At 35.6% G+C, this 15,751-nt stretch overlaps 1 protein-coding gene and 1 long non-coding RNA gene across 25 annotated transcripts in view; both read left to right on the forward strand.

The window, feature by feature from the left end:
• NRG3 (neuregulin 3) overlaps positions 1-15,751 on the forward strand; it is a 1,111,986-nt gene that overhangs the window by 146,619 nt on the left and 949,616 nt on the right. The window lies entirely within an intron of this gene.
• Positions 2,118-15,751, forward strand: part of LOC124902472 (uncharacterized) — a 31,126-nt gene continuing 17,492 nt past the window's right edge. Inside the window, exon 1 of the long non-coding RNA XR_007062219.1 lies at positions 2,118-15,680. This is a non-coding gene — a long non-coding RNA (uncharacterized LOC124902472). The remainder of the gene's footprint in view (positions 15,681-15,751) is intronic.

Below are 15,751 nucleotides of genomic sequence, written 5' to 3' on the forward strand. Positions count from 1 at the left end.
TGTGTGTGTGTGTGTGTGTGTGTCTTGATTTAGGGTTAAGTCTTCCTGATTTGAAGGAATAATTTTAAATAATATTGTCAGCATGGCCCTGTGATTCAACATCTGTTGCTGTGTTTTTTCCTAAATTCCAGTCTTTTGTATACACTTAGAAATTTGGATGATTTACATTGGATGCTTTTTTTTTTCTGCTCACTTTTAATCTTTACAGTATTTTCTGAAAGGCAGCATCAAATTCTGAATGGGCATCACTGATTCATTTACACATCTGTTAAAATTTTATTGAGCACATACTATGTGTGGTGTAATGCACTACTTTCCAATGATAAGGAATTTAGATAAGCAAAATGTGCTTCAGGTCGTCAGGCCACGGTGATTATAATTTGGAGAGACTGTAGGTAGGCAACTCATTACAAATGAAGCAGAATGAAACTATCACTAAATTGAGTAGGCAGGAATAGCTTACTCTGGCAGAAGGCACCTGAGAATCCTAATTGAGGGAAGACTTTTAGGTTTTAAGTAAGCAAATCCACCACTGGGAGAATGACAAACCCTGTCAGTCACATGCCTTTATTATCATGGCTCTGCTTTCAGTACCTCCCGGTTGTGATATCTGTACTCTTCTCTCTGCTCATCCAAAAAGTCTGCATTATTTCATGTTAAGAGAATAGTTTGATATTTACTATTGGCCAAAGCAAGAAAGGCTTTGCCTACTCCATGCTATAGCTTAGTATTTGTGGTGTTTCTTCATTATTGGTGTACTTCTCTACAGGATTTCTTTATGATGGTTTCTGTCTTTAGATACTGACCTAAATTATTACTTGCCCTGGCCTTTTGGGGAAGAAAGTCATAAAATCAACTATGCCTTAGATCTGCATTGTCAAATCGGAAGCTATCAACCACTGTGGTCAATGAGCACTTGAAATTTACTAGTCCCATTTGCAACATGCTGTAAGTGGAAAAAACACACTGAGTTTCAAAGACCTGGTATGGAAAAAAATGTAAAATTTTATTTTTATTTTTATAGTGAATACAGGTTGAAATGCTGAGAACTTTATACATATATCTATTTAACTATACATATATTTAACTAATCAATTTTGATTTATTATATATAAAAATTATATATATATTTATGGGGTACATGTGATATTTTGAAAGATACAATGTGTAATGATCAAATTAGGGTAATTAGGATATTCATCACCTCAGATATTTATTCTTTCTTTGGGTTGGGAACATTCCTTATGTTCTCTTCCAGCTATTTCAAAATATAGGTTAAATTTATTCATAAGTTTTTTTTTTGTTATCCCTTATAAATGTGATTGCTCTCTTGATTTCTTTTAGAGATTCTCTGCTGTTGGTGTATTGACCTGATACTGATTTTTGCATGTTGATTTTGCATCCTGCCATTTTACTGAATTCATTTATCAGTTCTGCTAGTTTTTTTGGTGGAGTCTTTAAGTTTGTCTAAATATAATATCATGTGTGAACAAGGATAATTTCATTTCTTTTTTCACAATTTGGGTGTCCTTTATTTCTTTCCCTTGCCCAATTGTGCTGGCTGGAACTTCTGGTGCTATGTTGAATAAAAGTGGTGATGGCAGGTATCCTTGTCTTGTTCCAGATCTTATAGGAAAGGCTTGCAATTTTTCCCTATTCAGTAAGATGTTAACTATGGGATTTTTATAAGTGGTCTTTATTATTTTGAGATATGTTTCTTCTGTACACAATTTGTTGAGAGTTTTCATCATAAATGGATGTTGAATGTAATGGAATGCTTTTTCAGCAGCTATGATCATATGGCTTTTGTTCTTGATTCTGTTAATGTCATGTATCATGTTTATTAATTTACTTAGGTTGAACCATCCTTGTATCCCTAGGATAAATCCCATTTGATTATGGCAAGTCAATTTTTTTAACGTGTTATTGAACTTGCATGATGGAATTTTGTTGAGGATTTTTGCATCCATGTCCATCAGGAGTATTGGCTTGTAGTTTCCTTCTTTTGTTGTGTCTGTGTCTGGTTTTGGTATCAGGGTAATGATGGGCCCATAGAATGAGTTTGAAAGTTCCCCTTCTCTTCAACTTTTTGGAATAGTTTAAGTAGAATTGTTATTGCTTCTTCTTTAAATGTTTTGTGGAATTCAGCAGTGAATCTATCAGGTCTTGGGCTTTTCTTTGATGTGAGACTTTTAATTGTAGCTTCACTCTCATTACTTATTATTGGCTTGTTGAGGTTTTCTATTTCTTCATTGTTCAATCTTGGTAGGTTGTATGTGTGCAGGAATTTATCCACATTTTTTTAGGTTTTTCAATTTGTTGGCTTATGGTTGTTCAGAATATCCTCTAGTGAGTCTCTGAATTTCTGTGGTATCAGTTTTAGTATCTCCCCTTTTCCTCTGGTTTCATTGAATTGAGTCTTGTTTTCTTAATTCGTGTAGCTAAGGGTTTGTTGATTTTGTTCATCTTTGCAAAATAACAAGTTGTATTTGTTGATCTTTTGTTATTTTTGTATCCTTAATTTCATTTTTTCTGCTCTGATCTTTATTATTTCTTTTCTTCTACTAATTTTGGAAAACCTTTATACAGTGGGTTAAAGAAAATATCTTATTAATAATTAATATTAATTTCACCTGTTTCTTTTTCCTTTATTTCACATGGCTACCAGAAAATTTAAAAGTTTACATGTGGTTTTCATTATATTTCTGTTAAACAGTGCTGCCTAAGATAGTGCTTATGGAACTGTTGTCACAAAACTTATGTATAAGTGGGTTAACCGAGATAATAAAGCTGAATTCAAGGTGTGTAGAATGAGCACTAGACTGAGATCCAGGGACTGATTCAGTCCCAGCTAGGACTTGGTCTCCTCAGGTAGCCATTCACTCTACGTGTCTGGAATGGAGTGCACTCACTGAAAAAATGCGGAAAAGATTGAGAAGTAGATCATTTCTAACCCCCTTCCTACATTAAATTCAGTGATTCAACTGTGTTCAGGAGTATACGATTGAATCATACTTGTAGCCCTCCCAGTATCTTCTCAAAGCCTTTTAGACAAAACCGTCTTCCTCATTCCACATCATAATTTATTTGAGAGGTTAAATTTGTAATTACTGTAATTTGGAGCTTCCTTGATCAGCCTGAGGCTGGAGCACAGCATCCTTCAATCTGTTCAGTGCTAAGTGAATCAGTTGAACATGTTGTGATTTATAAGGATCTGATAAATATGTTTTGCAAGAAAGTTTCCAGCACTCTTTGAAAAAATTTAGAGTGTTCTGAAAGTAAACTGTAGTTTTTATGTCATTTCAAATAATTAAGAAGAAATTGTTTCTTATTTTTTAAATTAATATTGAAAAATCTATTTCTAACTTAAATTCACAGGTAAAAAATGTGGAATACTTCATATATTTCTTATAATATTAAATATCTTATTAATATTTTATATCTTACACTTTGATATAAAGAAATATAAGAAATATATATAAGAAATACTCTAGCCATATCTGACTTTTTTCCATGTACGTATATTTGAATATAATATAGATTGTAGTGTATATGTTTTAGTTTTTTAAAAAAGTTTTAACATGTGTTCTACTTTGGAACATGAGTAATTTATAATATTTTTTCTTATAAATAATAGTATGTTTACATGTGCATATGCCTGAGATAATTAGTTTAGGATCATTTCTTAATAGAGAAATGCTGGTCAAAGGACATAAATATTTTAAGATTTTTTCATATTTATAATAAACTTTCCTTCCAGGAAGTTTGTATTTTCCATTTGTGTTTCCCTTAGCAGGGACTGCCTGTTCCCTGCAACCTTACCAATACTAAAATTAAGATTTTAAGTTTTGTTTTGGTTGACGAGTGAGAAAACATACTTTATTTTTGTTGGAATTTATATTTCTTAGGTTACTAAGAGAATCCAAAATTATTTAATGAGCATATTGGCAACTTCTAATTCTTCTTTGTAAATAGCTTGTTTTGGGTTTATATCGTCTATTTACTTACTTATTTTGGATAGTTTTTTGTTTTGTTTTGTTTTGATAGCTGAGCTGGTGAGATTATATAGCACCCTTGAAAACTTTCCTCTTTGCTCTGACTTCCAATCCTGTTCAGTCATAGACAGCCCTGCCCCTGCTCCATCCACATGTCACCTGAGCAAACAAGCATATACAACAGGGGGAAATCACTGTAGTCCTCATCTTGGCATGTGGGTTCCAGAAAATAATCAAGCCCTTATAAGAGGAAGAAGATAATTTAACTCCCATTTGGTCCTTATATTGGAGTCTTTTAGAGCAATTTTTTCTAGTTTTTCCTTTCCAAAGCAAATGAAAAGACCCCATAACAATACTAGCTTTAAGATCTCTGCTGTAAACAAGGATTCTGAGTCAATTGGGATACCACAGGTTAGTTACGTGTACACTGGTGTATCCCCTTGCAAAATCACCTGCCTTGAGCTGTCATTACAGAACCATTATAAGAAAGGGCCATATAAAATATAAAATATTTTAATAAATTGGTTGTGAAAATATTGTTATGGACACTGTTTTGTATAACACTGACATTCCAATACACAAAGGATGCATTATAAAAGATGGAGTGCTAGAAAAAGCTAAAGTGCTCTTCAGGTTTATCTTGCTTCTGATACGTGTTACTGATGATGTTTCGGGAATTGCTTGTCTGCTTGGAAACTCAGAGCCAAATTTGATTCTTAATCACAGCAATAATATTGGCTGTTAGTATTGACTATTTTGGTAATGTATTTTTATGCTCCAATTTATATATTACCTATAATTTCTGATTTCATTATTTGGTAAATTTTTTTGTGTGGATTTTTGTGTGGGTGTGTTTGAATTTTGTCTGTCTGTTTGTCTGTTTGTTTGTTTGTTTGTCTGAAGGTTTTTGGAAACCTTCTTATTTCTGAAAAAGAGCAAGGCCTGTGATTAAGAAGAGTTTTTGCAAGTTCAGTGAATACTGTCATCATTTTCATAATAACTTTAAGGTTTATTACAGAAAACTAGAATAGATTTTTGCCTCTTCCTAGGCAAAAAAAGCTGTTGTTCCCAAGCAGAAAGGTGAAAGTCATCTTGTATTATTTCTTGGCTTTTCATTTTTATATATGTTTGCTTGCCTTAATGATAATAATGCTCTAATCTAATTATCAATCACCTGTTTAATGCTATTATTTCTGTTAATTCATGGGGGCAGCTAATGATTTTAAATAAGGTAGTTTTCACAAGAATAAGTGAACAACATGAAACTTTTTGTCAAATCAATTTTCTAGGCATCCTTTATTTTCTGGGCATCCTTTGGGTTTATTCAGTAGAATAGTCTTTGGAAAATTTGTAAATCATGCAATAATTGAAATAACCAAAATACTGTCTCCTTATACACATTTTACATAGGAATATGCTTTAGAAAACTAAGCAAAGTATAAGTAAAGGGAATATTACAGAAAGGTAAATGTCAGTGTTCTTCTATTCAAATTATGGGCTTTAATTTCCCCAGCCTTTTGGTGGTAAGTGAAGCCATCCTTGTCTTGAAAACTGTAGGGGGAACTGTTTACATGGCCTACTTTAGACCCTTATGTTATTCTGAGTTTTTTTCTTCTCCAGGGAAATAATTTTTAACTATGTTTGAAAGAATGAATTTAAGGCTTATTAACTGAACTCGTCTTCAAAAATTTAGAAACGATGGTTCTGTCAAATCAGATAATTTTCTTCCTGTGCATTAAAGCATAATATGAGGAAACTATTAGCTACAAAGCACATTTAAATGCTGCTTGGATATTGGTGTGCCCTTGCTCATTTTCTTGAGTGTTTCTCAATTCAAAACTCAAAATTAACTGCATACTTGGCATCAGGTCTTGCCATCAGGTTGAACCTGAGCTGATGTCAATGACACACTGCTTTGGAGCCCATGGGTAGGTGAGGGGATTGCAGTCTCTCTTCAGTGTGGGATTCTGAAAAGAGGCAAACTGATAGAGGCTCCAACCAAATAACTGTACCCACACATTGAGGGACTGAAGGTAAACTCCCAGAGAAGAGACAAAGACAGGAGGTGGAGAGCAGAATAGTCAGGAAACAAGTTAGTCACAGACTTTACTCAGATCCGGGTTGTGCAAGCAATGCAGACTTGACTCTTTTGTCCCATCCACTACTCACTGCCCACTGCACTCTTTTTGGCTGGGTTGTATTATTAACTGCTGGGAATATTTTTCTCAACTTCCATTAGAGTGGGGATTCTCATATGAGTAGTAGTAAGTAGAATAGTAGGAAGTAAGTAAGAAGAGTAGTAAGTGAAATTCTGAAGTACTACCTCTTCCTGCTTTTTTCTACTGGCCTTAAACATGGATGCAATGTCTGGAACTGCAATGATTATCTTGTAAACATGAACAAGAGATGACACCATGCCTAGGAAACACTGAATTTCTGCCTGCTTCCAGACTTCTGGTCATAGGAGGAAAAAACAAAACAAAACAAAACAAAAACCCCCATTAGAAGTCAAAATTTCTGCTACTTGAGTTCAAATGCATTCCTAACTTATATACTTTGTTGCCTCGTTTGTTGCCTTCTGCTCTTCAATAGTCTCACTCTCATTGGGGAAGAAAAATATATAAACTTAAAGTTCTTATTGCGACACTTCTTAATACCTAAAATTGCCATCCTGTTGAGCCAGGATGATCCTCACATATGAGGTACTTAGTAGTTGCTTGTTGAATGGATGTGAAAAATATTCCTGTTTTTCACTTTGGCCAAATTGAATGATAGAAACGCTTTGGGCTTCTCTGACCTGGCAGTTCCACAGTGCAAAGCAACATTCTGCCCTCAGATCAGCACACATCTTTACTTATACAAACCCTCACTCTGGGGTGCTTATTGTTATAGAAATCTGCTTCTGTTTTTGGCTTCCCTGATGGAAGGAAAAGGATGCCTCAGTTCCTGGATGTATTGTATGAACCTTGGCTATACTTACATAAAGCACAAAATAACTAAGAAATATGCTCACCCCGTAAGGATTTATGTGGAGCTCACTCACAAATACTTTCATAACTGCTGAGAATCAGCACGGTTTGGTGCGATGTTGAAAAGTCATCAGAATCAAAAAACTATGTGTCCAGGTGCGGTGGCTCACACCTGTAATCCTAGCACTTTGGGAGGCTGAGGCAGATGGATCACCTGAGGTCAGGAGTTTGAGACCAGACTGGCCAACATGGTAAAACCCCGTTTTTACTAAAAATAGAAAAATTAGCCAGGCATGGTCGTGGGCGCTTGTAATCCCAGCTGCTCGGGAGGCTGAGGCAGGAGAATTGCTTTAACCTGGGAGGTGGAGGTTGCAGTGATCAGAGATCGCATCACTGCATTCCAGCCTGGGCAACAGAGAGAGACTGCATCTCAAAATAAAAAAAAGAATCAAATAAACTCTGATACCCATCGTTACCACCATTGGCTGTGTGCTGTGGAGAAATTTAGTTAACTTTTCTCTGAAGAAGTATTCCTTCCTTTGTAAAAATAGACATAAATATGCCAGTTTCCCAAAGTGAATGGGATTAAATTAAATCATGTATACATATATAAAGTGTTTGGCATGTAGTAAGGGATTAATAAGTGATACCTGTTATATTAATGGTTGTGGTTATCTTGCAATATGATAGTTGAAAGATGTGCTGATTCAAAGCTGTCAACCCAACATCTTCCTGGGATCTCACCTGCCTTGCTGTATTATCTGCTGGCGTCTCCAAGGGTGACCAGCTTGAACGATTTCATTATGTGTCACTACTACAACATTTTACACAAATACAATTAAACAAGTTCGTCTTCCAGCACACTAGTTGGGAGTTAAAAACAGTTTCTATTGATTTATATTTTTGATGGACTTCATTGAGAATGTTCTGATTTGTGGGTTAATGCTTTCTTACATTGAGGGTTCCCAGGAGCCCTGCAGTGAAGATGGTAACCTTTACCTAAACTCACCAGAATGATTAATTAATGTTTACCTCTAATGAGCTAATTAGGAGTTTGGGACATTTTGGCATTTTGAATGGCTTACTTGATTATCTAAAGGGAACTTTTACCATCTCAAGAGGAATTATAATTGGCCTTAGGGAATAATAGAATCACCTAAAGTATAAGAAAGCCTCCCTCATGTTGGCAAACAACCTGTCTAACAAATGTCCCCTTTGACAAAACAGCCCGCAGTCACAAATACGAGTTGAAATCGTAAGGGGAACTCTGACAGGATTTACAGTTACATTAATTGCTCGCTCTTGGCATGGGTGATTTTTGTGATTAGAAGAGGATCAGAGCAGCTTTCTACTCAAGTCTTTGGCTTGAGGCTGATCATTCTCCATAAACAATGACACCTTTGGGAGGGCAGCCAAAAATGTCCCATAGAGAAATATCAGGAGAGATTCTTACTTAATGAGATATGAATAAGGCTGTTGAGCTCCACCAGATCTTTGCTTGTCTCCTTAATGAGGAAACATCACAGTGGGTGAAGTGGTGATAATGTTAATAACCATGATCCAATTCAATGAATGGTGGAAGTAAGGAGAGAATTCAGGAAACAGACGTAACACAACTCTCTATACAAACCTCTGGGTCAGTTATGTAACTTGATTTTATGTTTATCTTCAAGTGAGGGAGTTAGTGCGCCTGGCTTATGCAGTAGTTACACATAAGACATGTAGATGGAAGTCTAATAAGTGAAGGAGACTAAATAGAAAGTCAGATGTACCTCAGGGAGAAAACGTGATTCATACCAAAACTCACTCTACGGAGTGAGAGAGCTACTCAGCACTTTAATGGAGGATATGATCAAGACTTGATTTTCCATTTCGTTTTCCTTTTTGGAATTATGCACTTCCCAACAGAAATGTCTAATTTGGAAAAAAAAAAAAGGGACCTCCACTGTCAAGTTGGGGGAATGAGGGCAGGAAGGAGAAAATGAATATAAAAGAAATAAATGAAGGACAAGTTTGCAAAAAATAGGTTGTGCAAGAACCAAGAAGGTTTAAAACAACGTTCAGAGTAATGAGCTCAATTCACTAGGAATGGGGAGTTCTTGAAGGAATTGAAGCAAGGAGATTACCTGATTAGAGATAGGTTGCATTTTAGGTAAAGGTAGAAATAATTATTGGAATTTAGAAAACCTCCCAAAATACCTGATTATAAAATCAAAGTTATTATCTAGATATTCAAGTATTAAATAACTTTTAAATAACCTGAAACACATGGATCTTCACATATGTGAAGAAAGCATTTTCCCAGCCACATTCATTATCCGTAAAACATTTTACAGTACCTGTCATAGAAGACCCGTCCCATTTATATATAAAGTTTCATCGGTGCTCTTTAATGTCACATTATTTTAGGTATGGTTGTTTCAACTGAGTGCACACATCTATTAGTGCTAAGTCACATTGGATAATGAAGCACTGTTATTCCCACGAACCTGTGTTAGGTGGACCAGGGATTTTAATTAAATATCTGAATGAGTGTTGTAAAGTGGATACTCTCTAGAAAGCATCTGTCAGGGTTAATACTTTACAAGTTAGCTATGCCTCTTTCAACCTTTAATTATAATATTCTAACTCTTTATCCTTAGTTACTGCTAATAATTTCAAGGTTATACAGATAGAAATTACTTGATTATCCAAGTGCCTGCACTTATCGAATGAAATAGAAATCAATTTCACTGTACATGGTTTATAAGTAAGCAATGCTAACATATTATTGTATTTTTCTAAAAAAATTCTTTTTTTAACAAAAGGAATTGAAAACCACATGATATCCTGTGGTTGAAAGTGCCTAATGCCTGCCACATATGTAACAAAAGTAAATTCTTAATAATAACAGTGATAGTCCTCCTGCATCCAATAAACAAACGCACTTCTTGATCATTGACAATTCTTCAGCTCTCTTTAAGCATTGATCTTTAGTCCTTATTAATTTCTCATAGTGTCCTGCTTGGCCCCCATAAGTCCATTTCATCATTTAAGTATATGGCCTTGCCACTTCCTTCCCCACAAGTAGACTTTGGCCATTTCTATGGATGCAGCATTTAGAAAAGATTTGCTTTAGCCCTTAATTTTCAGAATCATAAAGCACATCAATAATTTTTTCACCTCCAAGCCACCCCTTCACACCACCTTCATGTGGGCTGACCAAGCAGTGGGCCATTCAGGAGTCAGGCAGTTGCTGTTCCTTGTTAGGAGAAGTAGAAAGCCATGACCCCAGCATTGATATCAAATCTTTTAAATATTGGTTATGGGGTATTTTGACTTTTATCTTGTTTGATTCTTTTTTTTTTTTTTATTTCCAATCACTGTTTTGATAAAAATGTGTTAATTATATGCTTCTGTTTAAGAGTCATGATGTTACTCTTCTGTTGATGGACCTGCAAACTTCATTTATTATAAGACAATGAGAAGTTATTATTCTCCCTAAGAAAGCTAGCTTAGCATTCATTTTAAGAATACTGAAGAAAACTTTGATTCTCTAACTAGAAAAGAGAGATTAAAAGTATTTAAAAGTACAAAGGAAGTTTTTTCCCTCTCAGGCCTCTCTTGGTTCCTGGTTTGTTGTTGTTGTTGTTGTTTTTTCTAATGCTGCTTCAGTTAACAATGCCTTGTGCTGGTATGCTATTTTTTAAATGCAATGGAGGGAACAGATAGATCTTCATTCTTCCTAAGAGTAGAAAATTCTCATTATGGAGACTCATAATCTTCAATATTTGAAGACTATATTCACACCAGATCAGAATAATGATAAGTTAAGCAGAATTGAAACATATTGAAATCATATTTGACACTGGAAATTCTTTAATTCTATGAGAACTATATCATTATAGTTCTCATTTTATAAGAAAGTTATTTAATATATTTTAAGGATGATAATAGCACATTGTGCGTTAACTTTGATGTCTCTTTCTTTGACAGTTTGGAGACTACATTGGCTTGCAATGGAGAATAAAATCTCAACCATATTAATGGGATCATCTTTTATTCTCCAAGGCCTAAGTAGTTTCCAGGGCACATGATGCCCCTTATAGATCCTCATTTGTCCTTACAGTGTCTTCATTCTGGAATGTGTAACTAAAGTAAATTCCAAAAGTAAATGTTAAAGAATCATTTTTAAAACCAAGTAAAATAATGACCCTCATGCTGATATAAAATGAACACATATTAAATATTTAACTCATTAATGTAGGAACCAATAAGATGTTGTAAGTTCAAAGGAGAATTCAAAGAACAGACTTAATTATAGATTAGGAATATTGAAAAAAATGTGAAAATTGAAGGAAAACTGGCCTGGGCCATGGTGGAAAAAGGAAGCCAATTGAAATCCTGTCAGACAGAATGTTGCATTTCTATAGGAATATTATTTTTTGCATTGCTAATGGCTATTGACAACTTACAGATTTGTAAAATGGCTCAATGCAAGGTTGGAATGAGATTTCCTGGAATAATGTACCGTAGACAATGCAGTTTTCCCTGAATAACACATTTTTCCCCTACAGTACATTGTTCCCTCTTTATTGGATAACTAGTATTTACCATTAAGATTTTGCTCAAGCATGTACCATAAGAAGCCTTCCCTGGTACCTTCTGTCTGTTTTTAGGTTTCCCTCTACCTCTCAAAATAGCTTATAAATAACAATCACTGGTCTCTATACATGGCATTATAATTCCATATTTATGATTTCCCTCAGTCCTTCTTCTTTAAGACCAGAACTATACCTTTTTATTTTATTTTTGCATAGTATTTGTATAGTGTTAGACACCTAGACAAAATTGACAAGTTGCCTACAGAATGAATGAGTGAATGAATCAAGTAGTGATGGATGTATGCTTGTGTCAAATTTACATGAGCATGTGTGATAGGAAAACATTTGTCATGCAGGATGCATCAGGGATTTGAGCATGGTCCCTTTAACTCTGAGCATTGCACAGCTCATATCATTACTAAATTAAACTCTATGCTTACCTGACTTTGCTACAACCTTACTCTCTGATCCCAGAAAAATTCTGTATACCTTGAAACTAATTTATATTAGTGAAATACATATTCTTTATTCTTGCAAAACTGCCTGTGAAAATGTTTTTTAATCATAGGTCATTTGACATTATAGTAATATATTTGCAAAAGTGGAAAGTTTTGCATAAGCACAAGTAATGATCTTTAACTACCTTAGAAATGATTTAAAGTAGGTGGTCAAAGAATCTTTACTTTTCTGGTATTTCTGGCATTATGGCAAAAGCAACGAAGCAAGAGCTAGTTCCTTCTCTTTACTTCCTTCCTGTAATCTTTGCAGGTTCTTTGTACATGTTAGGAAATAAACCTTTATTAGTTGAATCTCTAATCTGTTAGTACATTTTTTAAATTACTTAGCATTAAGTCTATAATGAGTAGACAGAGACCATATACATGACCCATTATTTAAAGGTTCTTAAATTTCAGATATGTTTACACAAAATTGTGCTTCTTCCGAATCCTTATTTCAGATGATTCTTGTTTGAATATATGTTGGCACCTGTATGTTCAAAACAGTGGAGGTGTCTTGGAAACCGCAAGATGCATCCTGCAAAAAGGTAGAGGGTGGTAGAGAGTGTCCTGAGTTTTAAATAAGTAGATTTTTGGATTTGAATTTGAGCTCTGTCAATTTCTATATGCATGACCTGAAGCAAGCTACTTAATTTCTTTCTATTTCATTTTCCTTATATCTAAAATGAGAATAATAATCCTGATTTCATAGAGCTGAGGTGAGGGTAAGGCAGACAATGAATGCAACTGACTTATGAAAGCAACTGGGGAATGCATTCATTCCCCAGCCATTCCCTGGAGTACACCTTGTTTTATCTGCATTTGTTCATCCCTGTTTCTTACTCCTTGTCAGTCACCACCTTCTTTAAATCCTTCATGGTTGAGCTTAAAACCCACCCGTTCCTGCCTTGTTGATTGGTTTTTCTTGTCACTGCCAAGTAGACTGTGGGCTCAGTGAGAGCAGAGGCTCTGCTCTGACTTGTTGAGAGACCCCAGAGCACCTCCTACGGTCTGGCAGCCCACACCCAGTGGACTAAAATGCAGCCCTGGCACCATCTTTCTATACTTCTTTTCTCAGAGGTGTTGCCTCATTTTGACCTGTGTTCTCTAGAAACCCAAGAAATTTTCTCTAAAGAACAGACTTAAAGTGAATATAGTTTACTCCGTGCTGTTCATGGTTCTGAATAGAGTTGGCGCATATATAGTGGGTTTGATTTTCTTTACCAAGCTGCCCTGTAGTTCGAGCAGCTTGCACATATGCTTCCAGATAGACTCGCCCAGCATGCCTTCCAGAATCCAATACAGCTTCAGAATTCCAGAGAGTGAGGACTGACCTAGGGTCAAATGCATTAACCTGCTCCATCACCAAAATGCTGCTGGAGGATTGAACAGATGTGTGTCAATGCTTGTGGTATCAGTAAAACATACGAAAACATGGATTTATTTTAACTCCCTGTGGTCTGAAGCTGTAAGGTAGAGATACAAAAATTCATACACTGTGATTTTTTTTGCTGTTATTTTCTTCTTCACAGTGTATTTATTCCTTCTGAGCATCTTTGGCCATGCACTGTGTTTTCTTTAATGAAAGTAGAAAATTTGTATCCTCATTGCTTATTTTTAGCACTGTTGCTATGATAAACTGTAGCCTAGGCATCTTATTAAAATCAATTGAGGATTTGAATTATTATTCCCTTTAATATTGTGGCATTACTATTCTTTCTGAAAATATTTCACCATGTATGAATCTATCCAAATATTTCCTATGACTTACTGGAAAGATATTTCTCATCTATTTAAGGGATATATAAAAAATAGCCTCATAGGGGTTGGGGACAAATGTTTTTGTTTTCCTCTGGATTGTTTTTGTGGGAAAGTGTTAGGTGCAATTATTTTTTTCAATACTCTGCTTAAGAATAATTTGTAATATCTTTAGGATGAAGTTGCATAGTACAAAACAACTTTTTGTGAATAAAGTAATTGACAATTTTGGTTTTAATTACCACATGTCATGACTAGTAGACTTCCTAACAAAACACATAGATTGGGCAACCTGAATTTTTCTACATAAAAATTGAGGTCTTACAATATCATGAGGTCTTACAATATCAGTGAAGCAATAATCTGCATTCCAAGACTTTATGCTGTTTCACATGTGTAAATAGCAACTACAGCATCTACTATTTCTGCCATGGAGTCTGGGACTGTTTCAAGGCTGTTCATCTATGATTTTCATTCTCAGTACCAGGATCATGGGCAGGAATGGAGCTTGAAGAGATCTGGGCCCACTCACAAGGGTTTTTAAGAATCAGGAGATGGTAATTATTAAGAGGAGGTAAGAACTGAGTTGAACCTAAAGGGTCGACTTATATTTTAGGCTGTTAGACCAGAATTATACCTCCCTTTAAACTAGATAAACATACTAGCATAAAACAACCTGCAGTGATGAAGGGGAGGCCATTAAACCCAAAGAGTCCTAGTTCTAGGCCAAGTGTTAGGCTATCTGCTTTCGTAAGTACATCCCATTTAATCTTCCTAACAACCCTGCTAGGCACAAGTTATTATCCCCATTTCACAGATGAAGAAACCAGGCTCGGGGAGATTAAATAACTTCCTCGTTGTAAGGGGTTGCACTGGCATTTAAGCTTAGCCCTTATGATTCAAAGCTTATGCTTTATGTTATATGATGCTAAAATAAAGGCATGGTTTTTTTCCCATGGAAGAATATCCTTCATATTTTTTAAAGTTGTAGTAAGTAGCACATAAATGAGACCTACTCTTAAGAAATTTTATAAGTGTATAGTACAGCATTAACTATAAGCACAGTGTTATATAGCAGTTCTCTAGAACTTTTGTAACTTGCATGACTGAAACTCTATACCCATTGAATAGAAACTCTCCATAGGTCTTTACATCTATAACTAAATTCTGATCACCCATTCCTGTCCCGGCACTGCTTATTTGTTTGTTGGTTTTGTTTTGTATAGAGGGGGAAAGGTGCCACATTAATGCCGAGTTCAAGGTCACTGTTTAACGAACAGGTCTTGGGGTAGCAATTGCTATAACATGTCAATAGCCAGATTCACCATAAAGGTGATCAGACTACTACCACGCTGTTTTATTAATCACTGTATGAATTTGATTATAATTTATAATCACCAACATAGTTTCTGTTCCATTTAGGTGACAGACTGTTGATTTACTTTGAATTCCAAGATGACAGTGCCCCTCTGAGTCAGGCAGGGTATATTTTAAGTCACAGTTACTTGAGAAGTCCCTCCCCAAAGCAGATCACAGACATCACTTCTTCATCTGGTTGAGAAGCTTCTGGATGGAGTCAGACTGCCTGGCAGATCCTGGCTGCACTCCAGAGAACTATGAGCACTGCCAGACAGCCCCCTGGCACTAGGGCTGGCCAAACAGTCATGGCACAAGGATCCTCTGTACTTTTACTGGGCACCAAGCCCAGCTCCATCAGGGCAGAATGTGGAGCTCAGCAGTTTGAAGTCTGGTCTCCATGGCACTAGGGCCAAAGGCAAGCTACAGAAATTCCAAGGCAACTGCATTGTCTCTGGTGTAGGCACATGACACATTCCACCCAAAAAATTAAGAGAGGCTGTATCCTGTCCCTGATCCAAGGTAGGAAGAAAATTCTCTCCTTTTCCCTTCTTTGTTCACATTATTCAAATTGCTTTCAAACGGTTTGAAAA

Source organism: Homo sapiens, chromosome 10, assembly GCF_000001405.40.
Source record: "Homo sapiens chromosome 10, GRCh38.p14 Primary Assembly".
Lineage (NCBI taxonomy): Eukaryota > Metazoa > Chordata > Mammalia > Primates > Hominidae > Homo > Homo sapiens.